General features: G+C 46.8%; 2 protein-coding genes across 55 annotated transcripts in view, besides 1 other annotated feature; one reads left to right on the top strand and one right to left on the bottom strand.

Annotated features, from left to right (window-relative positions):
* CNNM2 (cyclin and CBS domain divalent metal cation transport mediator 2) overlaps positions 1–27088 on the top strand; it is a 171929-nt gene extending 144841 nt beyond the window's left edge. Inside the window, exons 5-8 of one of the 2 annotated variants that reach the window (NM_017649.5) lie at positions 5495–5588; positions 8640–8705; positions 12952–13136; positions 13837–27088. In NM_017649.5, coding sequence (NP_060119.3) covers positions 5495–5588; positions 8640–8705; positions 12952–13136; positions 13837–14046 — 555 coding nt within the window. In that variant the 3' untranslated portion in view covers positions 14047–27088. The remainder of the gene's footprint in view (positions 1–5494; positions 5589–8639; positions 8706–12951; positions 13137–13836) is intronic. The other variant, NM_199076.3, reaches the window with a different exon arrangement.
* Positions 20538–20832: an enhancer, noted in NCBI's record as "tiled region #2614; HepG2 Activating DNase matched - State 5:Enh". NCBI's record gives its function as "activates a minimal TATA promoter and a strong SV40 promoter by Sharpr-MPRA in HepG2 cells {active_cell/tissue: HepG2}" and the evidence as "EXISTENCE:reporter gene assay evidence [ECO:0000049][PMID:27701403]".
* Positions 24883–27239, bottom strand: part of NT5C2 (5'-nucleotidase, cytosolic II) — a 105256-nt gene continuing 102899 nt past the window's right edge. For 27 of the 53 annotated variants that reach the window (NM_001351181.2, NM_001351183.2, NM_001351194.2 and 24 more), the window contains one exon: positions 24904–26774. In NM_001351181.2, the coding sequence (NP_001338110.1) occupies positions 26538–26774 (237 nt within the window). In that variant the 3' untranslated portion in view covers positions 24904–26537. Of the gene's footprint in view, positions 26775–27239 lie in introns of all 53 variants that reach the window. The other 26 variants (XM_047424854.1, XM_047424852.1, XM_047424856.1 and 23 more) reach the window with 1 other exon arrangement.

Raw genomic sequence — 27239 nt, forward strand, 5'->3', positions numbered from 1 at the left:
AAATTAATTTTGACCATCAATATTTAGAAAAGTAAATTTAGCAAACTTGCTGAGTCTGGCCATTCCATTGCAGACTCCAGATTGAAAGCATTGCTAGAGAGTGTCGGGGCACCAGGTCTCCCCAGGCTTTGAGTGGGCATCTTTGGGTGCTGCAACTCCTCTCTCGGTTAATACAACCCAGTCTTTGTGCCCCTGGCATCTCATCACCTGCTTTCAGGAGTCAGGCCCCCCTGAATACTTTGTGATGGCGATTTAAAAAACAAGAAGGTGAGCGGGAGACCAGGTGGCTGCTCAGCATGTGGCGCATGGGGAAGTCCCGCCTTGAGCCGCATGCACTGATCCCGGGTTGGCACTGTTTGCACCAGTGTGGTTGTGCCCACGCTGGCTAGGGAAGTTTAGGATTCCACTTTGAAGCCAGACATGGCACGGGCTGTTGAGTAGGTTGTGGACACTTAGAAACTTTGAGAAGAGGTTATCTGATACCTTTGTCCAAAGAAGGGCAGGATGCTGTGAGAGATGCTTTACTCAGGAAGCCAACTTTGCTGGTCCAGTGAGTCCTTCTTCCAAGTTCGTCAGTTTATAAGCATGAAGCCCTACTTCCCTCTGGGAATTCTTGGAATTCATCATGTCCTGTCCTGGTTTTTTTGGTGATATGCTCGACTAGAGTAAACTTACAGATGTTTCAAAAGTAAAATCAATATGTAGCTTCCTTATATGGAAAAAGTTGTTATCTGAAAGGACACCTAATTAATCTCGAACCAGGTAAGCCATCTCCTCCTGTGCCCTAATTTTTGTATACTGGTAGGTTATTTGAAAATGAATGTTTTTTGGAACCACTAACACGTAAATGAATAAGATACGTTTACTGGATGTTTTTAAAACTTGCCTGCCAGAAAAGCTTAAATCCTATAGAGAGGGATGTAGTGGGGTGGGCAGGTTTGACAACTCTTGGAATTGTAGAGTCATAGAATGCTATTATAGAACTGAAAGAACTGCAGGTACCCTTTAATCTGTTGCAACTTTATATGAAGTAAAATTACTCTAATGTGATAACTCTTCCTAAGTGCTGAGATATTTTAACAAAGTTTTTGCCAGTTTGAGGCAGAATGAGAAAATAAAGACAGTTGCGATGAGCTTTTCATAAAGCTATGTGTATTCAGTTTGAAGACCTATTACTCTGAAATGACATATTTTCTAAATTTGAGGGGTTAAATGTCTGGTCTTTTATGAAATGATGGTAACAGTAGATAGCTGTTTTTTTTGTTTTGTTTTGTTTTGAGACAGTGCCTCACTATTTCGCCCAGGCTAGTCTTGAGCTCCTGACCTCAAGCAATCCTCCTGCCTCAGCCTCCCCAGTAACTGGGATTACAGGTGTGAGCTACTGTGCCTGGCAATAGTTGTGTTTTTTAAAATAAATACCTTTATTTTGCCCTGGCACGGTGGCTCATGCCTGTAATCCCAACACTTTGGGAGACTGAGGAGGGAGGATCAGCCAGGAGTTCAAGACCAGCCTGGGAAACATAGTGAGACCCCGTCTCTATAAAAAAATAGAAAAATTAGCTGGGCATGGTGGTGCACACCTGTAGTGCCAGCTACTCAGGAGGCTGAGTTACAAGTGTTGCTTGAGCTCAGGAGTTCAAGGCTGCAGGATTCTCACCACCGGTGCGGTGAGCCATGATTGCACCACTGCACTCCAGCCTGGGTGACAGAGTAAGACCCTGTCTGAAAAAATAAATTTTAAAACCATCTTTATGAAAAAAAAATTTGGCAACCCCGTATCTTTCCCTGTATCTGTCTCTGTAGAGGTGCGTCTTACTGGCCGTTAGGATGGAAATGTCTAGGAATCACTGAGCTTAGCATATCCACCCCGCAGCAGTGAATCTCAACTAGATGGAGTCCAGAGGGAAGATGGCAGATCCTCCCCTGCCTGGGATCCTGTCTGGAAGGACAGAGGAAGCATCAGCTGGAATGGCAGTGGTCTGGAGTTTTGAGTCTTGCAGCCGCCCTTGCTTAATCAGTTGACTCAGCTACACTGCCTTTGAGGGAGTCCCTTGAGAGGCCAGGGCACACAGTTTCCAGGGCTGGGGCCATTGTTCACAGACAGAGCCTTAAAGCAATGATTCCCAAAGTTTGTGGCTTGCTAGAATCACCCGGAAATCTTTTTAAATAAAATCCTGATGCCCAGATTCACCTATATTGTTAAATGAGAATGCCCGAGGGCCGGAGCCAGAGTCGGTAATCTGGGAATCTCTGCTTTGAGTGTGCAAGGCAGAGCTTCAGGCCTCAGAGTGGAACCACCGCACGCTTCCAAGAGACAGATGGTGTGAACCTATGGATTAAATAGAAAAAAAGATGTACAGTTTTCTGTTTTACAGTCTTGTTTTGGTTGTGCCTGCCCTACTAGTCCTGACAGTTTTATCTCCAAAGAATAGTGACCTGGCATCTGTCTGCAGGGACACAACACAAAAGGCCCTGTAACTTGTACAACAAATGCTCCAGATAACTGGAGACACCCAGGAACGGAAGTCACCATGAGGCTCCACTGCATTTGACTCTTCCTCCTGATTTCCTGCATGGAGGGTCAGGCTCAGAGCTGGTCACGCAGCCACTCTTGAGGTTACAAACTACAAAGCAGACATTTGCAGCCAGCACATACATGTCAGTTCAGGAAGAGATGGACACGGAATTGGGGAGACATGTACCGTGGCTACTCCTGTGTGTGTTGCTATCTCTGAACCTTGTTCCTCCCCTCCTCTTTGAAGGGACCCTACTTCAGGGACTTCCCCAGCACCCAGAGTCCTGAATTTTCAACAGCCTTCCCATGGCCCCACAGATGGGGATGTCCTGCTGCCTGTCCCTCTCCTGCCGGGGCCACTGTCCTCCCACTGATTCCTCTGTAGGGTAGGAAAGCCTCCTGCAGCCCCCAGCGGCCTGTGGTCAGTGATTGCTCCCGGCGGCCTTGAGCACCTTGAGGCCCTGACCGTCCTTGCCCCTGGAATTCTCCTGACCCCTGCTCTTCTGCCATGGTGCCGTGGTCTGGGCCTCCCTTTTCAGGCTCTGCCATGGTCCTGTTATGGTTTCAGTTTTCCCTGCTGCTCTCAGTCACGGGCTGAGCTTCGGTCCTTTTCCTGTCTCAGGTCCCCATCTCCAGCCCTGACCTCTCTCCAGACCTTCTTTCTCCCACTCGTGGTGTCCCTGTTCCTCAGCCCCTCCCAATGGGCCTCTGGTTCCTATACTCCTGTCTCCCTGATGGCTTCTTCGAATCATGCTGGTCCCTTATCAATAGCTTCTCTACCGCACTCCCTCCCCAGGCCTGTGGCTGCCACCCTCGTGGAAGCAGACTCTGTTCCTCCACCCAGGACCCAACCCTGCCAGCCCATTGCCTGGGGATCTGCTCACCCAGCTGCCTTCCAGATGTGCCCTCACTCCTCCCTGCAAACACAGAGCCTGGCCGGCCGCTGCCGCCACCCTGGGCCTCCCTCATGCTGTCCCTTTCTCTTGGTCATCCACAGCTTTTCCTTCCTGTATGCGATTTGTCTTTATATAAGAACAAGAAGTAAGATTTTTCTGGGAGCTTCTGTTCCCAATGTCTTTTTCCTCATGCTGAGCTCTTGTGTGCCATGTGGGCTGTTGCTTCTCATGTGCTCGCCTGTCCCTGCTGCATGGTCAGCCCGTGGGGGATGACGGCTGTCATCTCCGACTCCACAGTGTCATCTCTAGGGCCCTGCCTGTGTGGGGAAGGTTTGTAGCACCTGCCCATTTGCAGGTGGATTTTATATCATGGGTGGAGTTGTAAGTTTATACGGCAAGATAATTGGCTAGGGACTGGTGAACTGTCATTTCTGTTGAGCAGGAAAACCTGAGAGGCAGTAGTTCTTCTCCTGAAGCTATGGCCCAAGAAAGACCTTTTGTAATTGGAAACTTAATATAAAATGATAGTTTGCATCAGGTGGCATAGCATCTTTTTTTTTTTTTTTTCTTTGAGACAGGGTCTCATTCTGTGGCCTGGGCTGGAGTGCAGTGGCGTGATCATGGCTCACTGCCTCACAGGTTCAAGTAATCCTCCCAAGTAGCTGAGACTACAGGTGCACGCCACCATGCCTGGCTAATTTTTGTAGAGATGGGGTCTTGCTGTGTTGCCCAGGCTGATCTTGAACTCCTGGGCTCAAGCAATTTGCCTGCCTCGGTCTCCCAAAGTGCTGAGGTTACAGGTATGAGCCACTGCTCCCAGCCTCCTAGCATCCTGATGAAGAGCTTGTTCTTTACTAAATCTTGCTGATCCCCCCTCCCCTGATTTGTAGGAGGGCAATGATTTGTCTGCTGCATCGAGTTGTGCACATTAAATGAATTCATAAAACACTGATGTGTTAGCACAATTCCTTTTCAATACATGGCATCTTAATTTTTGTTCACCCATTGTAAAGGATGCCTCACACAGTTGTAGTAATGGGAACAAGAGCATTTCTGACCCTTGGCCTGAGAAACTAGAAGTGAAACTGACTTAGAGCATTTCAGTAGCCCAGAAAACACAATGAGCACCTACCATGCAGGGATTATAGTGGACCCTGGGGTTCCAGGGATGAATAAGACACTCTATCCCAAAAGAACTCATCAAGGTAAAGAAGAAGTTGTCGACAAGTTAGCGAAAGTGAAGAAAAGGGAAAATCTTAGGGGGAGGAGAGGGGAACTTTATTTTAATGGAAGGAGACTTTCTTCAAACTGCTTTTCCAAGACAGGAGAAAAATCCCATGGAATTTAAGTGCCTCCAGGAGTGTAGACAGCAAGTTACCAGCCTGCGAGGGGTCTGCTCAGTGGTCAGGACACCGTGCTCGTGAGACAGAGTGGGTTCTACCCAGGTTATTCCTCTCTGTTCCATGGCCACAAACCATGTCGGCCCTTGACCCTGATTCAGCCCCGGCCCTGGCTCCTTGGACAGCCTAGGCAGCCATCGCCCAGCATCATCTTGGTGCTGGTCCCACTGATGGAGCAAGAGCACCACCTTTCCATTGCTGGAGGCCTCCTGAAGAATCCAAGAACTACAGATATTGGGAAGATACTAAGTGGACTCACAGAAAGTAAACATCACAGGCCAGGCACAGTGATTCACGCCTGTAATCCCTTTGGGAGCACTTTGGGAGGCCAAGACAGTGAGACAGGATTATTTGAGCTCAAGAGTTCAAAACCAGCCTAGGTAACATAAGGAGATCTATCTCTACAAAGAAAACTGTATTTTAAGTTTTTAATTTAAGAATTATTTTAAAAATAAACATCACATTTACACTGTCACCTCTGTATAATCAGCCAAATCCAGTTTTCATATTTAAAGCGAATGAGCCCCCTCCTCTCAGTGGGAAAGATGAGCTGAAGCTTTACTCCCTCGATAGTGTTGGGAAAAGAAATCAGACAAAAATCTAAGGAAGGACCAAATATTGTACAGAGTGTGCCAGTAGGCTTTTGCAACTGGACTGAAAATACCTGCCTTTTCTCTCCACAGGGGAAAGTGGAAGTTGAAGCTGGGAAAGAAGGTATGAAGTTTGAAGCGAGCGCCTTCTCATACTATGGCGTGATGGCCCTGACAGCCTCTCCAGGTATGTTTGGTTCCCAGCCGCATAGGGCAGGACCACGTGTTAGGAAGTAAGGCCCCTCTCCTTTCATCTTGCTTTCTGTATCTGCCAGCTGACCCCATTCACTTCCTTTTTGAACTTTTTTTTTGAAGTATATCATATATGCAGAAAATCTGCACAAATCCTAAGTATATACCTCCATGAATTCTCACAAACTGAACACGTGTAAAGTGGCACCCAGACCAAGAGACAGGACGTTACCAGCCCCACAGAACTCCCATCACGCTCCCTTTTAGTCACTGGTCCCCCAGAGTAACTGCTTTCTTGACTTCTCAGCCTAATTCTGCCTGCTTTTGAACTTTGCATAAATGGAGACACTGTGTGTGTTACACAGAGGCTGGCTCCTTTCTCTGTGTCGTGCTTGTCACATCACCTCTGTTGCTGTGTGTGATCACACTATTTCCTCTTGCCATGTCTAGTATGCCACTGTGTGAATACACAGCAGTGCACGTGTCCTTTCATTGCTGATAGACATTGGGGTAGTCCCGTCTGGGGCTACTGTCAATATGTGGCTTTGAACATTCTTATACATGTCTTTGGGTGAACGTGTGTGTCCATTTCTGCTGGGTGCGCACCTGGGACTGGCGCTACGTGTCAGAGGGTGTGCCTCTGGATTCAGCTCTGATGTACCTGCTTACTCCCAACCTGTGCTGTGTGAATTCCGGTTGCTCTGCATCCAGCACTTGGTATTGTTGAGTCTGTTAAATGTTAGCAGTTTGGGAGGTCTTAATTTGCATGTTTCTGAGGACGAATGAGGTTGTTGCTATATACTGACTGCCTGTGGCCGGCTCTTGTCTGGAGAGCTGGCCAGGCGAGTCAGCCAGTTAAGGGTGGGTGGCCATGGGGGATTGACAGTTCTCTGAACACAAGATTCCAAGATGCCAGCCAGCCAGATGTGCTCTCAGACATGAACACAGATAGATACCTGGTGGCTTGCTGGCCTCTGGGGATGGCGCTGCTTGGCAGAGCGCACACGCTTGCTATTAATACCTGAGGCAGCCCGAACAGGTCGGGCAGGTCGACAGAGATGCTGGGGTGCCACCTTGTGGCAAAAACACCAAATGATGTGCGGTTTTAGGAAACTTCATTTACAAACCTCAAACCTAAAAATAACCCATTTTAAAAGAATTCCTGAAAGCCAGGCTTCCAAGGGGAGGAGATGCCTCCAGACAAGACTGTTTCTGTGACATTGGTCTTCATCGACTGCTCCACCCAGTAGTCTGAGGAACCCAAAGATGTTTCAGTTAGAAAGTCACTGAGACGTCAAGAATTCTGTCGTATTTCTAAACTTCCTCTGCCCCAAATGCCCCTTCTCACTATCCTTGTGCAGGTGTTTGAGTCCTGGAGGCACAGTGTCCCCACTGTCAACTGCTGACCAACACCCAACACCCACTGTGAACATGGGCCTGTCTGACCCTACTTAATGAGTAGGTTTCTGTTGTAAACTTGAAGGTGACCTTCGTTTTCACTGCTTAGTGAGAGAGACAGGGTAGCTCTTACCTAGGCATGAGAAGACCTGGGTTATAGCTTCAGTTCCATCACAGGCAGGTCGTGTGGTGTTGAGCGAGGCCCTTGGTCTCATCCTTGTTAAGAGGATATAATGATGCCAGCTCATGTGATTATTAGAAGACTAGGATGCAGTGATCCTCACACAAGTGCTTCGTCCCCTTGAAAGCATGAGGGGAAATGTGAGTATAGTAGAAAGGTGCCTGACTGTGATGAGTTTTGGCAGCTGACCTCAAATTAGCCCCAGGTGAGCAGAACCAGATTTATAAGATGGCTTTGAAAATAAACTAGGAGTGGGTTGTACATTTCTACCAATTACTGGTTCCTGAAACATAAATACCAGCGCAGTTCCTGTTGAACTGTAATGGAAGGACAAGTCTCATTTAGAAGAGGATGTGGTGAGCAGCCCTCTGAGTCTGGAACTGCTAAAAAGGAAGGGGAAATCACTTGAGGTCAGGAGTTCAAGACCAGCCTGGCCAACATGGTGAAACCCCATCTCTACTAAAAATACAAAAATTAGCCAGGCATGGTGGCACATGCCTGTAGTCCTAGCTACTTGGGAGGCTGAGGCAGGAGAATCGCTTGAACCTGGGAGGTGGAGGTTGCAGTGAGCGCAGAGCACGCCACTGTACTCCAGCCCAGGTGACAGAGCGAGAATCCATCTGAAACTAAAAAAGCGGGGGGGGAATTTCATTAATGGCATCTTACCTATTCCAAAGCCTAGTATTTTACTTAACTTTACAACTAAGATTTGGGATTTTGTATATTCATTGAGAGGCACAGTTAGTACAGATATCACAAGGTAAAGTTTCTGTTTATTGATGTTCGCTGTCTGGGGAAAACCGACAATAATCAGTTCTTAAGACCTACCTGCCCCAGAGGTGTGATTCCTGCTCAACATTTCATGTTCTGAGACTTTTCAATCTGATGGGGCAGTGAGTAAGTGGTGATGAGGATGACTCTGGTCTGCATTCCCAGGAAATCTGTGTATGCGTTCTTTACTTACTTTCCTCTATGTTGAGATTTGAAAGCGTTCCTAACAATTCAAAGCTTCAGGTCAAAATTAAAATGAGCTAAAGTTGCACAGATGGGGAGCTGTAGGCTGTGCAGTGAGTGAGTATTGGGGTGCAGGCGCCAGCGGTTTGAGTCAGGCTCTTAGGGCAGTTGACTAATCGAGCTCCCCTTTTGCGCAGCTACTGGTGATTTAAGCCCTTAAGAGTAGCAGGTTTCGAGCTATCAACCCCAATTGGTTATTAGTGGCTTAAGAGATTTCTTGGTTAGTAACAAACTCGTGGGTAGGATTTCTCCTGATCTTGGCCTCCCTGTATTCCTCTTCCTGGAAAGCAGTGTGTGTTGTTTTGTTTCTATAATACCATACCGACTTGCATTTCTGCAACTGAATGCTCATATTGTATTGATAGAACAAGTATCCCCTCCTGTCCCTTGATTACAGAGATCTCTGTTCTTGCCTTTTGATGCGATCTCACCCTGTTTTTCTCCATTTTTCAGTTCCTTTGTCCCTGTCTCGTACCTTTGTTGTCAGCAGAACAGAGTTGTTAGCAGCAGGTTCTCCAGGTAATTCTGCATGCTTCCTTTCCGTAATTCTCCTGATTGCCTTCCTTGCCCCCCATCACGCCTGGCTGGCTGGGTCTGCTCCCTTTACCTGGACAGGCTGTTTTCAGTGTTCCTTGGAGCGCTAAAGCTCTAAGGTTCCGTAACTTTATAGCGAGCTCTCCAGGAAAGCATAAGCCACAGCAGGTGGAGAGTCCAGAACAGCGCAAAGTCACCATGCACAGGAGTAGCCATGAAGCATGGAAAGGGAGGGCGGCTCTGGTGTGGATTGTTAGCGCTCCCTGCCCTTGTGGCTGACCTTGAATTTTCAGGTCAGCAGTAGGGGACTGTTCTTGGTTCTTATTCTGACCTCAGCAAGTCATGGTATCTGGAGTTTGCAGAGGCCCTGAGGGCCTCAAACCCTGAGGCCGCTTTTATAGAGCACATTTGCCAAAGGCCTGAGAGCTGTGAACTCTTCTTGGTAAGCAAGAAAAATACCCCATCCACACAGGCGCACGACATTCTTGTATCCTGGGTTCTTCCCACATCCGTGTGAGTGGAGCGCGAGCGCCTCTGCTGTCCGCCAGGCAGGCGGCCCTACTTCTCCCCACCACCAGGCAGGCGACCCCGCTTCTCCCCACCACCAGGCAGGCGACCCCGCTTCTCCCCGCCACCAGGCAGGCGACCCCGCTTCTCCCCGCCACCAGGCAGGCGACCCCGCTTCTCCCTGCCACCTGACTTTGTTTTGGAGTGAACACCCGGCACATTCCTATCCCGCTGCTGCCGACTGCCCTGCAGGAGAGGGTGGCCAGTCCTAACTAATACGTCCAGCTATTAAAAAGAAGGGAAAAGGCTTAATCTGTCTTTAATTAAAATTGCTGGGATTTCCTAGTTGGTAACACAATTTTCCTATATTTATCTTCGGAGTTTTTTCCATAATTACTATCATAAAACTTTGGAACATAAACTTGGCCACAAAACCTGACCTGAACTGGGGGTCAGCCACTACGGTTTTAGCTCTACTTGTTGTGAATCCTTGTCCGTCTCACCAAAAGTTAATGTGTTTGCGGACTAGGGCCGCCCCAGAATTGCTGGTGGTGTATGTAACATGGGGTGTATGGACTGTATCACCTTCCAGAATTCAAACATCTCTCTGGCCCCCAAGGGCTTCAGATGAAGAATGTGGACCTTTATTATTATTAATATTTTAAGTAAGATGGCACTTGAGGCTCTGAGCAGTGGGCTCAAGCTCAGGGTTGCAGCGCCTCTGCTCGCGCTGGCGCCCGTCGAGCTGTTGAAAGGGACATGGAAGGCAGGGCCTGCTCCTCCAGAGGGTGGCCATGGGGCCAGGCATCAGGCTCTTGGCAGAGGAGAGGGTCCACTCACACAAACAGAGGGCAGTGGGGCGAGAGGAAGCAGACTGAGTCTAGATGCTTTGGAAGATCAGAGAAATCCCCCTAAAATCCTTCTCAGGAGAAAACAGGAGACTCAGAATTACTGCAGGAGGCCTCAGACAAGCAAAGTACCTTGAAATGTTTTGTTTTTATAGCCTTCAAATGTTAACACACAAACACTGTTTCAAAAGTATCTAGAAATGGTGATGAGATTGGTGGCCAAAGCGCAGGGATACAGTAAGATCTCGTTTCAAAAAAAGGACTAATCTGTCACCCTGGGTGAAGTCACTGCATGTGCAAAACCTTGGTCATGGGGTGGGCGCATGGTGGCAAGGTCCGGGAGGAAGCTGACAAGAAAGAATAGAAAATGGGCCGGGCGCGGTGGCTCACGCCTGTAATCCCAGCACTTTCGGAGGCCGAGGCGGGTGGATCATGAGGTCAGGAGATCGAGACCATCCTGGCTAACAAGGTGAAACCCCGTCTCTACTAAAAATACAAAAAAATTAGCCGGGCGCTGTGGTGGGCGCCTGTAGTCCCAGCTACTCGGGAGGCTGAGGCAGGAGAATGGCGTGAACCCGGGAAGCGGAACTTGCAGTGAGCCGAGATTCCGCCACTGCAGTCCGCAGTCTGGCCTGGGCGACAGAGCGAGACTCCGTCTCAAAAAAAAAAAAAAAAAAAAAAAAAAGAATAGAAAATGCCAGCTGGGCTCACTTATGGGGTACCTACTGTTGTCAGATAAGCACTTTGTACGTGATCTTATTTTTAATCCTTGTCAGACCTTATAAGATGGGTACCAGGGCTGGGTGCAGCACTCACACCTGTAATCCCAGCACTTTGGGAGGCCAAGGCAGGTGGATCACCTGAGGTCAGGAGTTCAAGACCAGCTTAGTCAACACGGTGAAACCCCGTCTCTACTAAAAATACAAAAATTAGCTGGGCGTGGTGGTGCATGCCTATAATCCCAGCTACTCAGGAGGCTGAGGCAAGAGAATTGCTTGAACCTGGGAGGTGGAGGTTGCAGTGGGCCAAGATCGCACCACTGCATTCCAGCCTGGGTGACGAGAGGGAGACTGTCTCAAAACAAAACAAAACAAAAGGGTACCCGGTACCATCATCCACATTTTACAGATAAAGAATCTGAAACTTAGCAAAATTGGGTCACCTATTCAAAGATCCATTCTGCTAAATATAAGTCTGATAAATTGTTAATTTGCCTTGTTCTCGTAGAAATGGAAACAAGGGGAACTGCCACTCTGAATTTAATTTGTCTAACAATGGAAAATTAGTTCATGACTTGACAATTGGAGGGAGAGTTAAGATACAAAAATTTTAGGAGAAAGTGGCCAGGCACGGTGGCTCACGCCTGTAATCCCAGCACTTTGGGAGGCTGAGGCGACAAGATCACTTGAGCTCAGGAGTTCAAGACCAGGCTGGGCAACATGGCAAAAACCCCATCTATACCAAAAATACAAAACTTAGCTGGGCATGGTGGCACATGCCTATAGTCCCAGCTACTCAGGAGGCTGAGGTAGGAGGATCCCCTGAGCCCAGGAGGTTGAAGCTACAGTGAGCCAAGATCACACTACTGCATTCCAGCCTGGGTGATAAAGCAAGACCCTGTCTCAAAAAGAAAAAAATATTAGGAGAAAGTGAACTCATCACTGGAGATTCTTGGAGTACTTATGTTTTGTTCCGGGTGTCCTGTTTTAAGACGGTGATGGGGTGAGATGAACAGCTGCAAGATTTATCCTAGAGAAGAGACTTAAGGAGACCATCACTCTCTTCACCTATCTAAGGGCTATTTTGAATAGCAGAGAAAGAAAAGGTACTAAAGCTCCACACAGAGGAAGTGAGGCTGTCATCTGAAGTTAGGGAGGCACATTTGGATGGGCACAATGACAAACTTTCCCGATAGCCGAAGGGCAGGTGCAGCCAAGGGCCAGCTCCTCCGAGGGCAGCTGTCAGGGACACATTGCAAAGAGGAGCCAAGCGTCAGATGGGAGAAATGGTCCCCTCCAATCCTGTGATACGATGCAATTCAAGACCTGGCCAGGGTGGGCACACAGTTCCTATCTGCAGTAGTTGGTTAGAAAAGCAAAAAGTGAAAGAAGCCTTGATGAGGGGGCATTTTTTAATGACGTTTCCATTAGAAGCCACAGTGAACTTCCATTTAAGAGCAACAACACCCAGACTGGCGCTCCTTCCACTTTGTTTTAAGGGAAGGATGCCACAAAACCTCACTGAAGACTCTAGCACCCAAGATAACTTACTCAAACTCGTTAGGGATTTGGTGTCTTCTAGCTTTCTTGAATTCCTGAGACATCCTCGGGCTACCTGATGGGGGATTTTACTGGGGTCAGAGACGAAGATAATAGGTTCAGCTAGAGGGTATGGTATGAGCAGATGAGTATTTTGATCCCTTTATAATACATACTGATTTATTAATATTCTCAAGAGTCCCTTGTTTTTACTTCGGGCAAAGTAATGAAGTGCTGTCCTCTGCGTAGCCTACCTTTGATATCAAGCAGCTTCTGCATGTTGGGCCTTGGCCCAACCTCGCCTGAGCATCTCACAGTACCCGGGAATGTTCCTCACGAAGGCACACAGTGCAGGGTTTTTGCTGTTAGAGACTTGGGAGGATTGTGTCTGTCACATACACAGGGCCAAGCAGCTGAGATGGACATAGCCTGCTGGTACAGGGAAGCCCGCGAGTCCGCCATACATAGGATACCCTCTGGCATACTGTGCGGCCGAGACATCTGGAATCAGTTGGCTGGGCTTGTGTGGCATTTAGTATTTTTTATTTTGGAAAATAACTGGTTTTATTGGCTGTATCTACTTCACTTAAACAGTTGGATTTTTCCCTCCTTTTCCAGGTGAAAATAAGTCCCCTCCTCGCCCATGTGGCTTGAATCACTCAGACTCTCTCAGTCGAAGCGACCGGATTGACGCCGTCACACCAACACTGGGGAGCAGCAATAACCAGCTCAATTCTTCGCTCCTCCAAGTCTACATCCCCGATTACTCGGTGCGAGCCCTTTCGGATCTGCAGTTTGTTAAGGTGAGAGACGTGAGTGCAGTGTGGCTGGACCTGGCAGTTAGTTGTCAACTTCCCTGGCAAATTGTCTGTTTTGCTCCTTGCCCTCCTCAGAACTCTCCCTTTGTCACTTTGTGGGTGCCCTGCCTTCCATTCTCAACTACACACCCTGTCTTCGTCTGCTGTGCCCAAGCCTCAGGTTGAGAAAAACGTTGATCTTCTTGGTTCTATCCAATGAGCTGCCAAATCAAATGTGGCTCTTTCAGGGAATGGGAGCCAGAGATCCTGGAAAAAAGAGTAGCCCCTTTTCAAAGAGCTCCTGGGTGCGTGGCTCCCTGCCTGGCCCTGGGAAGGCTGAGGTCAGGAGACTTGGAGGGTTGCGGGGAAGGCTCCACCTCTGTCTTCTGCCGGGCAGTCAGAGTACTCATCTTGGTCTGAAATAAAGATGACTTTTGGAGAACAAGCCAGCTTTAGCTGGGAGAAACCAGTCTCTATTTTCTAGTCCCTAAAATTTTGAGACAATATTTGGAAGTGGGTTACATCAGTAAGAACTGACTTGTTCACCAAAGTCAACTTGAACTTGACAAAGTGGCTCACTGCGCTCAAGTGTGATTTTCTCCTAGAGAGGCTGCTGTGGGCCTGTCGGGATTGAACGTGTGGAGATCAGAGAACCTAAAAATAAGCATTATCTTGGTTTGTTTTCTGTGCCATCTTCTGGCCCCAGATCTCAAGACAGCAATACCAAAATGCCTTGATGGCATCCCGGATGGACAAAACCCCCCAGTCTTCAGACAGTGAAAACACTAAAATCGAATTGACTCTTACGGAGCTGCATGACGGGTTGCCAGACGAGACAGCCAACCTGCTCAACGAACAGAACTGTGTGACGCACAGTAAGGCCAACCACAGCCTGCACAACGAAGGCGCCATCTAGGCCGCGCTGGCTGCACCCGCCCAGGCCCGCACCCGCCCAGTCCCGAGGGCCCGGCCCTGTCTGCCCATGACTTCACTGGTGTGAGCTTGTCCGCCATGCTGTACCCTGCAACATCCTGAGACCAAAGACCTTGTGCCCTTCCCAGGAGCCGCGGAGGAGGACAGTGAGGGAGGAATGGAAACGAGAGATGTGAAGTTGGCAGCCGGGGCATGGCGTTCAAGATTTTGGAGATGAACTGATTCCGCCCAAATAGAATCATGTTTATTTTTTCAGCTCTCCCTTTTATCATTATTCACACTCCTCTGCCCTCGATTTGCATGAAGTTGAAAATTGTTGCGATTTATTTTTTCAAGAGATCATGTTTTTAAAGTGTCTTTTGCAGAGTTTTAAGTTGTTCTGTCTGAACTCTGCTGTGATCCCATGATGTGACCCTGATGGGCTGGACTTGCCCCTCCGGTAGCCTTCCTTGGCCCTCCCAGCGAGGGGCACCCTTCCTCTGTGCCCCAGTGGGCATCACCGTCGATCTCGCTGGCTGAATGAAGAAGACCGTGTTACTGCAGAACCTGCCAAGTCTGTCATCACTGTGGGGTGTAGCCTGCCTCAGAGGGACCTGCAATCACCTCTCTGAGCTCAGTGGTATTTTGAGAATTTAATGTTTAACTGTACCCCTTTCCCTCAGGAAGATTTAACATTTGCTTGGGAATGTGATTTTGCTCCCACCCTAAGGAATTTTTATCACCAAAATGAATGTTAATGAATTTAAAACCCATGGTTTATCATTGGCAAGAGGCAAGTTGACTTCATCCTGTCATTCCAGCCTGGGGTCTGCCAGCCAGCCCTCCTCCCCGACCCAGCGCCTAAGCTCACAGAGTGTCGTCGCCCACCTCCCTGGTCCTTGCTCTTGTTAACCCAAGATGCTGCTACACAGATGCCAAATGGAAATCTTCCACAGGGCTTTTTCAGTAAACACGTGATGTGGAGTGCAAGCTCCTCCCCTTCCCACTAGAACATACTTTAACAGAAAACGAGTCGGACCTTCTAGCTGCACTCTGTACTGTGTGCCGAGAAGGCATTTCTAGACCCGTGTTTTTAAAGGAGGGAACTTTGGGGATTGCCAGCCCCTGCTCCTCCTCCCAGGGAGCCAACTGTCCCTCCTCCCCTGTCCCTGGGCCCATGGGGCCCGGCAGTGGCTGTGTCCCCTGCCTGAGGGCTCTGTGCCTCCTGCCTCAGATGCGGCCTGTGCCAGAGAGGCTGCCTGTACAGCCAGGGTCAGTTTGGCCCCAAACAGGGATTCAGAAACCAAATGTGTGTTGTGGCCATTTTATGTGTGTCTCCGTCTTATTTTAATACCAAATTCATCATGTAGTGAAATTATGTCAGGAGGTATATGAGTGACTGAATTCTTAACTATAGCTTATCTGTGTTTTGTTAGCCCGAGGGATATGTGCAGGTTGTTGGCGCTATTCATGCACTGAAATGAAATCATACTGACCAGTGTACACACAAGATTATCAGTGCCCGCCGCATCCATCACTAGGAAAGGAGAGAGCGTTTTCTGTTTAGGCTCACTGCGCAAAGGGAGGCCTTGGCTAAGTGGCAGTTTTCTTCTCCCTACTCCAGGTAGGAAGTCTGTTCAGCCACGGCTGGGCTGTGTGCGGGGCAGGGAGCGTGGCTGAGGAGCAGACAGCAGCGGGCCGGGCTGGCTGCCTGGTGAGCAGTTTGGTGCCTCGGGTGTTGTGCATGCCCGGCTCAGTATTTCCTCTGGGATGCCAGTCCTGGAGTGTCTTCCTCAGAAGGTGCCGTGTCCCTTAGTGGGGGGAAGTACTGATCTCACTTGGTGTAGAGGGTCACAGGGACCCCCCGAGGGTGCTGAGTGGCCTGCTACTGGCACGCAACCTGCCCCCGTGGGATGAAGCCCCACCGCGTAGCTTGACCTTAGAGGGGACCCCACTCTAAGCATCCTTTTTTTTAAACAGAGCCATCTAGATACAAAAGTCAGTTTCTTAAGATGCCTCTCACTGAGCACAACACCAGTGTGATGAGTGTATAAAGATGAGGGGTCCTTGCAACAAAGCAAAGCGTAGCCCATGCTGGAAGAGGGCATCTATCCCCCTCTTCGGGTCTGCGCAGTGCTGGCCTTCCCTGAGCTGTGGGGAGCCAAGCCTGCCTAGCCCAGCTTCTCTGGCCTCAGGAACTCTGCCCTGTCAACCTATCTGGGCTCACGTCTGCTTCTCCACACACAGTCTCTCGGGGATGCCTTGCTACTGGGAGAGCCTCTGGAATCAGAGCTAGTGTGTTGGTGCCCTTTTCAGAGCTCTGCTGTTCCTTTATAAATCCTAAAGAACTGAGTCTGGGGAGAGGAGAGGGGATGCCAGCTGCTGCCTCTGACTTCAGGGAGAAGCAGACTTCTTAATACTGTCTTACGTGCTCGGTGTGATGGCTTCTTGCAAATTATTCTCTTATAAAAGAGCTCGGCAGGAGTGGCATCAGTGAGGCTCCCAAAGGATGAAATTTTAGCCGCCAAGTTCGTATTCATTTTCTGTTATTCTTTACCTTCTGTTAGTCACACTATTTTATAACATTAGGGAATCTAAAATAATTCCTGTCAGGTCCCTGAAGGAATGAAGGCTAACATCTCCTTTGGGGAGAGCTTAGGACCCTTCAAACAACACTCATGTCTGAGCGGCCAGATTCCTCCTCCAGGCCCCATTTTCCCTCAGGAAACCAACCTCTCAGATGGTTGGAGGAGAAACACTGGGCTGTTGCTTCTTTGGGGCAGCAGGAGAATGACTTTGGCTTGGAAGGCCTCTGCCATTCATCTCTACAAAGCCAGTGGGGTCCGGCAGAGAAAGACCGTGGAATAGCTGCGGTCTCGATGTGGCTGCTCTTTGGCACCTCCGCTGGACTGCCCTCCCGCGGCGGTGACCTTTTCAAGTGTGGAAGGGAGTGGGTCGAGTGGACCAGATGCAGACCCCTGAGTTCTGGATACTGATGGGAGGCCTCACCCTCCTTTACGGGGCCTCTCTGGGTGGGACAGAGCCTCACCTGCTCCTGAGCAGCCACTGGTGCCCCACGGTTCCTCTGAAACTAAATCCCTAGCATCCAGATAGTCCTGGGACACTCTGCCTGCTCTGTAAATGAGGAGGGCTTTTCTCCTGCTGTTTGGAGGTTCCGTCCCTTCACTGCTTGTCCCATATGCGTCAGGCAAATTCAAAATCATACATTTAAACTCTTAGGAAAACAAAATCTTAAGACTTACACAGATATCGGGGTGCTAATCAACTGGCTTAAATCTTGATTCTTACATAATTTGAACTTGAAAGGTTACATTGAACTCTGTTCTTTCCTCCCTCCTCACCTCACTCCCTGCAGGGAGTTCAATGCCATGTTGAAGTGGTTGGCATCCCCAAGTGGGAGGGAGTGGGGCATCTTACCATCTTCTAATGTGACTTCAAGGAACAGTGCAAATGTTGAATGCAGAGCTTCACACTAATACGGAACAGTAACTGTGAGTATATTTACCTGTGCTGTCGTCAGCACTGTACACTAAAGGACCAGCTTTTCCAAGCCTAGGAAAATAATGGTAGATACAAATAGAAATACATTTTCCCTAGGAAATAGAGCAATAGGAATTTGAGCTAAGCAGGTACCATGAACTTCTGCCCTCAAATTCTCTCTTTGGGTTGAGGAGCAGACCTGTATAGGCCCTGGCTGATCAAGTCTGTGTCCTGCCTAGTAAAAACACACAACCACCTCTGTCATCTGAAGGCCAGCCGGGGATCTGTAGCCATCCTCGCCTTGCCTAGGCCCAGGAAGGTGAGGTCTCCTGGGCAACCAGAGTTGCCCCTGTGGTTCCCCAGGGGTGATCCTAGGCAGATGACTCACCCGGGCTGGCACAGGAAGGTGCTCACCTTGTTCTCTGGGGCTCCAAGCAAGAGCAGGCCAGGGAGGGCTGGCTTTGCACGCTATGTAGCATGACCCAAGCTCCCTGGTGGCATGGGAAAAACTCCCCTCTGCTTTTGAGCCCAGATATGGGCTTTTCTTTGCAAAGGGTTGAGGAGAAATACAAGACTGAGCTGGTAGGTTAGGGTCCAGAAGGCCTCTGAGGTGCCATTGCTTACTTCCTTACTGAGGAAACTGGCTCTTGTCCTGGGCCATGTAGTTCCATTCTGGGCTCTAGGCTAGTGGTGCTTCTGTCCATCAAGGGTATCTGGGTGAGTTGTAGGTTAACCCAGAATTTAGTAGGGATATAGGGGTTTGAATAGGAAAGTGATCTGGGGATTCAGAAATTTTTCTGATGTATCAATGAGCAACTTCTCAGTGGATTTTTATACCTCAGGGTCATTTGCAAATCTTTATCTTTTCCTATTTCTTAGGTGTTCAAGTTGGTTAATAGGAGAGAGACGTTCAGAGACTTCTAAGTTGAGGTTCATTTGCCTCCGTTTGAGGGGTGAGTGGTGCACCAATAGCTTGCTGCTGTTACTTAGCAAGGCTGTGACAAGTAGGCCTTCCTCCTCTAGCACTTGCAAGCTTTCTGTCTGCGATCACGGTTTACTTGCCCATTTCCCTTTTGCTACCTTCTTTCCTATCTGGAGATTCATATTCTAGAGTCCCTGGTCAACCCTACGGATGCGAAGAAGAGATGGCAGTTCACAGCAACTGCATAGAGTAGGGAGCAGCTTTCCTCCCACCATCCTAGGCTGGGGACCTTCTTTGCTTCTCACACCACTGTGGTTGGCTCAGCTCAAGTAAGCACGTTCTCTCTGTATGCTAGAGCTACTGACATCATCTCTACTAGAATTGTTTTAAATATCTTTTGATGGGAAATACCAGGTTGAACTTCAAGCATCATGGAAACAAAGGTTCTAGCTGCAAGAGAGTAAAGTTCTAGGTGTTTGTATGCCAAGGTTTATATGTACACAGATCCAACACATACTGTAAGAAAGACTTGAGTACACAAGGTTTTCAGGTTTTAATGCCCATTGGGACCGTGAACAAATGAGAAGAATGGGAGCATTGTCTTGCCTCGCTTGGAAGGACGCCTTCCGGCATCTGATCCACATGGATTCACTTTTAGGATGCAGTTCTTTGGGGGCCAGATTTGGCTGCAGATTCACCCTGAAGAGAACTATCCAATGGGCCTGGTGGGGCTTGGGTGCCTGCCTTTTTTGTTGGAGGCTCAGACTTCTAGAGCAGAGCAAAGTTGGGAAGAATGAGGTCTTAGGATTCTCATTCCCCAGAGAGCCCCAGCCTCGCTTCTGATCATTACTCCCCAAGTCTGAATCTACTGTGAAGGTGAAGTTATCAATTTTTTCTTGTTTGAGTCCTTTAAACCCACAAATGTATATGCTTTATTTTATATTATTTATTATGTACATATGCCTGTTAGTACTTCGTCTGTGACTAGGACAAGGTCTGTCTTGAAGCTTCCTCATCCATGGATCCTAGGGTTCTGCTGTCCTTTAAGGCGGGTGAGAGGGTAGTGTTGTTTTTTATAAACAGGTTGCTGCTTTTATGTTGGCCCTAGCATCCCCAGCCCCTTTAGTTGGGCCCACCTGTATTCCTTATGACCAGTGTTTTGGATGAGGATGGAGGCAGGTCTCCTACCTTGTGGGCAGGGCCTCTCAAGTACCTCCATGAAATATTTCCAAGGTGGTTTCTTGGTGACAGGCTCTCTTCCCCTATGTAGGGTACAGTACAGCTGTGAGTCCACGGCCTCCCTCCTCCCAAGGCAGGTCACTTGCCTGGCCCCACAGTGATAATGGTTTCTTCCACTTACCTTAGATTGCATAATCCATCTTTCTGGATAATGGAAGCTGCCTGCCTATCTGGGCTCTTAATATGCCTTTTCTTGGTTTTGAGGCCCAGTGCCAACATTGCCTTGGCCCTCAAGTAAGACCCTGCTTTGTGTCTGACTTTGATCCTCCTCAGCCTTTATTCACTGTATCATAGTGTACAGGTCATGCATTTGAGCAGTGAAGTTTTCTGAACACAGTATTCAGAGCTGTGTACATAAACCTAAATAAGCACAAATGACATGTATAGGATTGAGCTGATTGTCTTAATGAATGCATTTTATAATTCAAATGATGTAGATGTACAGTCTCTCCTATTTATTTTGTACCAATTTATTTGTAAATTTTGTGATTGTTTTACAAGGTTTTTGTTTATTTCTATTCTATTTAGATAAATGATGTTCTGTTCACCCTGCTAGCAGATGTGTGTTCCCTCTTCCCTTTCATCTGTGCAACACCAACCATGCCATTGTATTCAGCTTGGCTGAACCAACTGCCCTACCCACTTGCCTGGCTTTGCTGGTGGGAAAGCTGGGACTGGATCTCAGCATGACAACATAGAAGAGCATCTTCTTTGGACAGTGTAAAGTCTTAAGAGAAGTGGGTACTAGTTCTGTGCCTCCAAGTCACAGCCTGGTACAGCCAATCCTAGGGGGAAGGTGTCCTTCTTTGCAAGGATTATAATCTGTTCTCCATCAGTTACTCTCTACATAAGAACATTCGGAGTATCCAGTCAAATTGCCCCAGACATTGGCTGCTCAGTCACTAATAACAACACACAGTGCCGCTGGGCTAAGCCGGCATTTCCTAGGTAAGACCAAAGGTCTCATTCAGGCCTCTCAATTGGCTCTTGAAAACAAGGATGGCTTTATAGGTCCTCCTCTGCTATGCTAAGCCTGGGAGGAAGGTCGGAGCAGGCATGGATAGTCACTTTCAAGTGGAAAACATCCGGCCTGAGTGTGGCGAGGCGTGTGCAGGTGGGTCTTCAGGATTCAGTGGATATCCTGCATTCCCCAGTAATCGGTGTGTATGATACACGTTCTTTTCCATCACTACTTTGTCTTCTGTTCCTTCTTACCCTCATCACTCACATGAGACCAGTCCCTGAAGAACTTACGGTGGAGCTTCAGGGACCCTCTGTGATCCATTCCTAAACCACATCTTTTTGGAATCCCTTTTCTCTCCACTTTTAGTCTCTATTTTACATTCCAAAGAGGATCGTGCTCTGAAAATTTAGCCTCTTGACTGGTCCATTTATAGTCTCCACTGAATTTATTTAACCGTGGCATTTGCAGTCTTTTACTTACACTTGTTCTGTGGATGGAGACATTTCAGGGAAGAACTGCTGACAGAATTGGCTTTCAGACACTGCCTGACCTAACTACCGCTCCCATCTCCCCAGGTATCGCCCAACTACCTGAAAGTAGAATGAGGTGTATCTTAGCCCAGTGAAATGCTGTCTTCGAACCCTGCTTGCTTTCATTAGAAGCAGGGCAGAAAGTGGCAGCAGAGCTAGGGAAAGAAATCATGGTAGCACATTCACTCCCAGCCTCCTGCCTTGGTTTGTTTTTCCTGTTTTACTCACTTGGTCTAGATGAGCCCTTAGCTCAAATCAGGAAATGCTCCAAGGAAAATGGAGGCAATTTTTCCTGCTGTCAAGATGAGATTTGCCTAAAACTCCCCCCTGCATCCTCAGAGTGCGCACACATCCGCTCATTTCTAAGCTTTATCGTGATGCACCCGGGGTTTCTATTTCACAAAAATTGTGCTCCCTAGAGCCGTTTTTCAACTCGGCACTTCTGAGGAAACAAATATTGATCAGAGGGTCTTGTAGAGAAAGTGGTTAAAAACTGACCTTTTTATAGCCTGGAGTTGATTTCTGGAAACTTATTTTATACTTTTTGAAGGTAATTTAAAAGAGATGATTCTTTATTAAAGCCAAAAAGTTGAATTCTATTAGGTGGATAATAAACTCTTTTGCTTTCTTTGTATGGTGGTTTTGTCATTTTCCCTCCAAGGGCCTCATATCTGTGCTCTTATTTTCAAGCAGTCCCAGGACAAAGGGATGGTTCTAGGGCCCTTTTCTCTGACTTTCTGCTGGCATGCCATCTCCCCTAGTGGATTACTGAGGACTGAGGATGCACGTTTCTAAGGGAGAATTAGTTGCCCGACTTCTGAAGTGCTTTTCCTGTCAGGGTATTAGTGACTGTGCAGTGTTCAAACAGGAGGCCAACACATGATAGGAAATTTTAGATGGGGCCAGTTTTCCTACTGCAGTTCTACTAAGTCATTGACTTGAGGTCAGTGGGTCCAAAAAGTGACTTGTTTAAAGATACCCACACACTCAAGTCAAAGATAACTCTGGTGAGAACACTCTCTCAAAGACTGGACACTGAGTAAACATTTTTCAGTGTGGGGAAGGTTTGCTTGGCAAATCTTCTTTCCAAGTATCTCAAGAACTTGTGAGACGTGGAAGGACTATTGCTGCCTTTCGTGGGAAAAATGTGTGCTCAGCTGCTTGGGCTCCAGTTTGTGTGGGAAGGTTTATCTCAGGCCTTGTCTACTCCCCTCGCCAGACATGGCTTTGGGAAGAGCTCCATGGGAGACCAGAACATCTGGGGACATAGTTGTACCTAGTTATTTTGTGTGAAGAAACAAAGGGACGAGATTCAAAATTCATCATTGTGTTTTAAATTTAAATTGGAAAACATAGATTCCTCATCCTTAAACAGAGTCAGCAAGTTTGAGATGAAATGTTTGTGTTCAATGGGGAGTACTTTTTTGTGTTAAAGCTCTACAGAGAAACTTCTGTATATATTTTATTTTTGAGATCACATACCTTTGTTGGAATGAATCAGACTGTTGTGGCCTTGGGATGAAGACATTGTGTGTGAGGACAGGGAAAAATGGTTGAGAAATCCAGGTTAAAGAATAGAAAAGCTTTTTACTCATTCTATAAATGAACATGCTGCCTGTTTAAAGGACTTGCTTTCTGCTGTTTCTAGATACCTAGCAGCGCGAGAACTGTGTGACGTGCTGCGTTCTTGTTACGGGAGGTGCGTGACGGGGCAGCGGGGGTTTCTGGAAGTCACCTGTTTCTGCTTTCTGGTTGCCTGTGCCTGTGGTCATCCCTGCTCCTTAGCAGTAGTGCATGTTTTTCTTCTATCTGCAGGGTTGCTCTGGTAGCTCCATGGTAGAGATTTCACTCTCAGGGCCTCCCAAAAGTTGTGTATCATTTGAAATTGTTCTATTTGAGGAAAAACTTTTAAGAAAAGCTGGATTCCCTGATCACCACTAAAGATCATCATGAGAAACATAAGTATTTGAGCCCTAAACTACTAAGCCCAGTGAGGAATTGGAGCGTTAACTGTATGGCAATAGCTAGATCATAGTTACCATTTTTCCCACCATCAAAGACAGATTAAATAGTTTCCATAACATGGAATGTGGGTAAGGTTCCTACCCTAATACAGACTTAAATATGTAGTTGTCTCAGGCTATTCGTGGTGAATAAGCAGAGTATTTATTTTAAAATGACCAGGCAGCCTTGGAAAAATTGCTGGGCTTTAAAGTTGTTGACAAAGTATTTCTTAAATAAATACATCTGATTTAGAAATACCTAAACATGGACAAAATACTTCTAAATCTGACATGCAACTGCATGTGGCTTTTTAAAGTGGTTTCTTAACAATGCTAATGTGACTTAAGGATTTGTAGTTCTATTAAAAACGACTTCTAAAAGTATCTTAGGGTAGCTTGAAGGGTTTGCGTTATTATTTTAGGTCTCAGCAGAGGTATGCTTATGGCAAGAGAAAAATCTTAGGTCTAAATAGAACCCTAAACTTTCTTGGCTGTGACCAACTTTTCTGAAGTACACCATCAGAGTTTTCACTGACTATCTATCTTTGCAGAGATGAATGAATGTACTGGGCAATTCCTCTGCCCAAGGAAACCCAGCAGGGCCTGGGTCTGCTGTACCACTGACCAACTGCTGGGGAGGCTAGGGGACCTGTCAGTACATGCTGTAAGGTTGGGAGTTCAGTCTAGCAACCAAGAAGGGGTTGCCTGGTGTTCTACAATGCCTATAGTGTTTTCAAAATGCCTGGGAAAAAATTCTCAAAAGAAGTGGCAGAATGGTCTTCTCACGGTATAAAACTCCGCAGGATTTTTTTTTTTTTTTTTTTTTTTTTTTTTTTTAAGGAAAAAAGTATACCTTTTAAGTTCAGCTTCCTTAACTACTGGCAACAGAGAGAAAACTCATAATTTGTTTTAAAAAGCCCAGTTACAGCTGCCCTGCCTACCCATGGACCATTGACTTCCCAGCACACTCTTAAGAATAATATACAGAGAGGCACCATTTTGCTCTGGGTCTTATGGAATCCTAGAGCTCTTGAATACGTTTTGGTGGTCCTACGGAGAGCTGTAACTAGCAGTGGAGTTGTTGCTTATTCCAGCTGTGTGCTTTTCACTTTCCGATCTTTGGACCCAGAGAATCATTTGCCATGGAATCATCTGGCTAGTAAGACACTCTTATATGGATGCAATACAAAAAGTGGTAAATTAAAGCAAAGCAATCATGTGGTCCTTACTCTAAAAGAGACAATATGTAAATGTACTATTATAATAAGGTAGCTCTGCAGATGTAATAAGCTACTCATAAATTATTTGGGTTTAAGAAAACTTAAGACTATGTTAAACTGGACAACATCTCCATCTTGAGTGAGAGTAATTAGTAACTAGGATGACCACACATTCTCCTAACACGGGCAACAGTCTAGTCTAATTGTTATTGCATTTCTGACCTGATTCTTTTAAAGGGGCATATATTCCCAATATATACCATTTAGAATGTATGTATGTTTCTTGGATGACTTAATCTGAAGCCATATAAGTCCAAAGTAGTGAGACAGACAGTATATCCTTGACTAAGTTATCAGGCTGTGTTCTCTGCTTATAAAATAATTTTTTAAAAAGCCTCACTTCACAGTCCTGTTCCAAAAATCTTTCTGTGAAAAAATTGAGGCCTATGTAACACCATGAATATAATCATGTTAGAACATAATCAGTTCTTGAATATTTATTTCCTTTAAGAGAATATCAAACTGATGTCACCAAATCTAAACCCACTTGAAGACCAATAGCTATTACAGTTGTACTACAGAATAGGTCAAAGTCACCGTTAGAAATATTACACTTTATTGAATTCTGGAGCAGCTAATCTACCCTCCCCTATTGACCAATGACAAGAATGGAAGAAAATATACAATGGTTAAAGAAAGAGTCTATAACCACTGTTTGTTTAAAATGTTGAAACAACTTTCACTGTACTGGTGAAACAGTTTTAATACCCTAACATACACAGTAATGATTCATTCTTGTTTAAAACAAGAGGTGATTTCGACTTGGGATTGGGATTTTTATTTTTTGAGATGGAGTTTTGTTCTTGTTGCCCAGGCTGGAGTGCAATGGCACAATCCTGGCTCACTGCAACCTCCGCCTCCTGGGTTCAAGCAATTCTCCTGCCTCAGCCTCCTGAGTAGATGATGGGATTACAGGCATGCACCACCACGCCCAGGTAATTTTGTATTTTTAGTAGAGATGGGGTTTCTCCATGTTGGTAAGGCTGGTCTCGAACTCCCGACCTCAGGTGATCCGCCTGTCTCGGCCTCCCAAAGTGCTGGGATTACAGGCGTGAGCCGCCGTGCCTGGCCTTGACTTGAGATTCTGAAGTGAATTTATTCACACTGATTGTGCCCTCTACTTTAGTAAGGTTCTGGCTTACAGAGCCCTCTTCCCATCCTCTGATGTTCAATTTTAATATACAGCAATCAACTCTTAGAGGACAAAGAAATCTGGAATTGGGTAGCATGAGCCACAGCTATATAGCCCACACTAATGCATGTTCTGTAGTATAAGAAGGCAGTTCTTCCCTTTCTTTTCTGGGGGCTTGTTCCTTTGTCCACTTGCAGCTAAATTCTTTCTATAGATTTATCACAGATAAGAAGGAGGTTGTTTTTGGATAACAAATAAGCATTTGTGCTATTAAACAAACAAAAGGTAATAAGGATACTGTCTTTTCCCTCAAAATAGAATCCTGCCCTAAAGCAACGCAAGTAGAGCATACTTCTGTGCAAAGCCAGTGATAGAGAAGCAGCCTTGCCAGAGTCACTGAGGATGAATTAAAGGCTTATAAAAGAAAACTTGACCTTAACAGAGACTACATTTGATCATGGAAATAATACATTTCTCCACTGATATACAATACCATGTAATGCACTGGAAAAGTTGGACCTTGGAGTAATAGCACAATTTGTAACATTACAGATCACCTCTTCCCACTCTTTGTTCCACTCTGAGACTCTTTCCTTTTCCTCGTGTATCCAGATACACTGACATACGGATGATTTTAAAAGTGTCACAAGCCACAGTGGAGCCATATACATGCAGTTCAGCCTGATTTTACCCTTATTTTCTTCTAATACAGACTCCATTACAATTTTGGACCATCTGCAGAGAGTACAGATACACAAAACCAAAACAAGTATCTATGATAATAAAATCTTCAGAAACTTTTCAGACGTACCTTTCATGGAGCCCCCTCCCTCCCCCGAGTAGAACCCTAACAGGGACCTCGTTTGTTCCTGTGAGTCCTGCCAGGACTTGTTTAATGGGTGCTTGGGGTTTTGGTTTTCCTCCTTATTCTTCCTCCTCCTCCTCCTCTTCATCATCATCTTCGTCATGGCAGTGTGTAATTTCCTGGGGGGCCAGTGGGAAGAGGTTGGGAGGTTTAATCTCACTAATTGACCGTGTCAGCTGGTGCCGCTTGTAGTCAGTGTCTTTGAAATCCACTGATGTGCGGTTCCGGGTGGCAAGAGGAGACTCCATCTCATTGATATCTACGTGTGTGTGCTCCACCGTTGATTCATGAGGCATCTAGACAGAAAAAAGCTAGAGGCTCAGAAAGCAGGCAGAGCAAAGTAGCTACTCCCCAAATCCTAACCCCTCTCCTCTGTTAGGTGGCCATGCAATTACATCTATAATGGACCACAGGACAAGTCAATATAGACTTATCTTCATAGAACTACTTATAGTTGCCTGTCTTCCTCTCTCCCTGCCCCTCAAAATGGTGCCCATATTGTCTACTGCAGCTGGAAATTGGAAAAGATGGAGAGGGGAGTTTACTTTCTATTTTACAGCAAAAACAAGATAGTCCTGAAACAGATCAGAATAAAGGAATGTAAAAACCACATTTTCTTTTTCTTGAGATGGTCTCTCGCTGTCACCCAGGCTGGAGTACAGTGGAGCAATCACAGCCCACTGCAGCCTCGACTTCCTGGGCTCAATCAATCCTCCCACCTCAGCCTCTAAAGTTCTGGGGTTACAGGCATGAGCCACCAT

The sequence above is a fragment of the Homo sapiens genome, chromosome 10 (assembly GCF_000001405.40).
Source record: "Homo sapiens chromosome 10, GRCh38.p14 Primary Assembly".
NCBI classification, from domain to species: domain Eukaryota; kingdom Metazoa; phylum Chordata; class Mammalia; order Primates; family Hominidae; genus Homo; species Homo sapiens.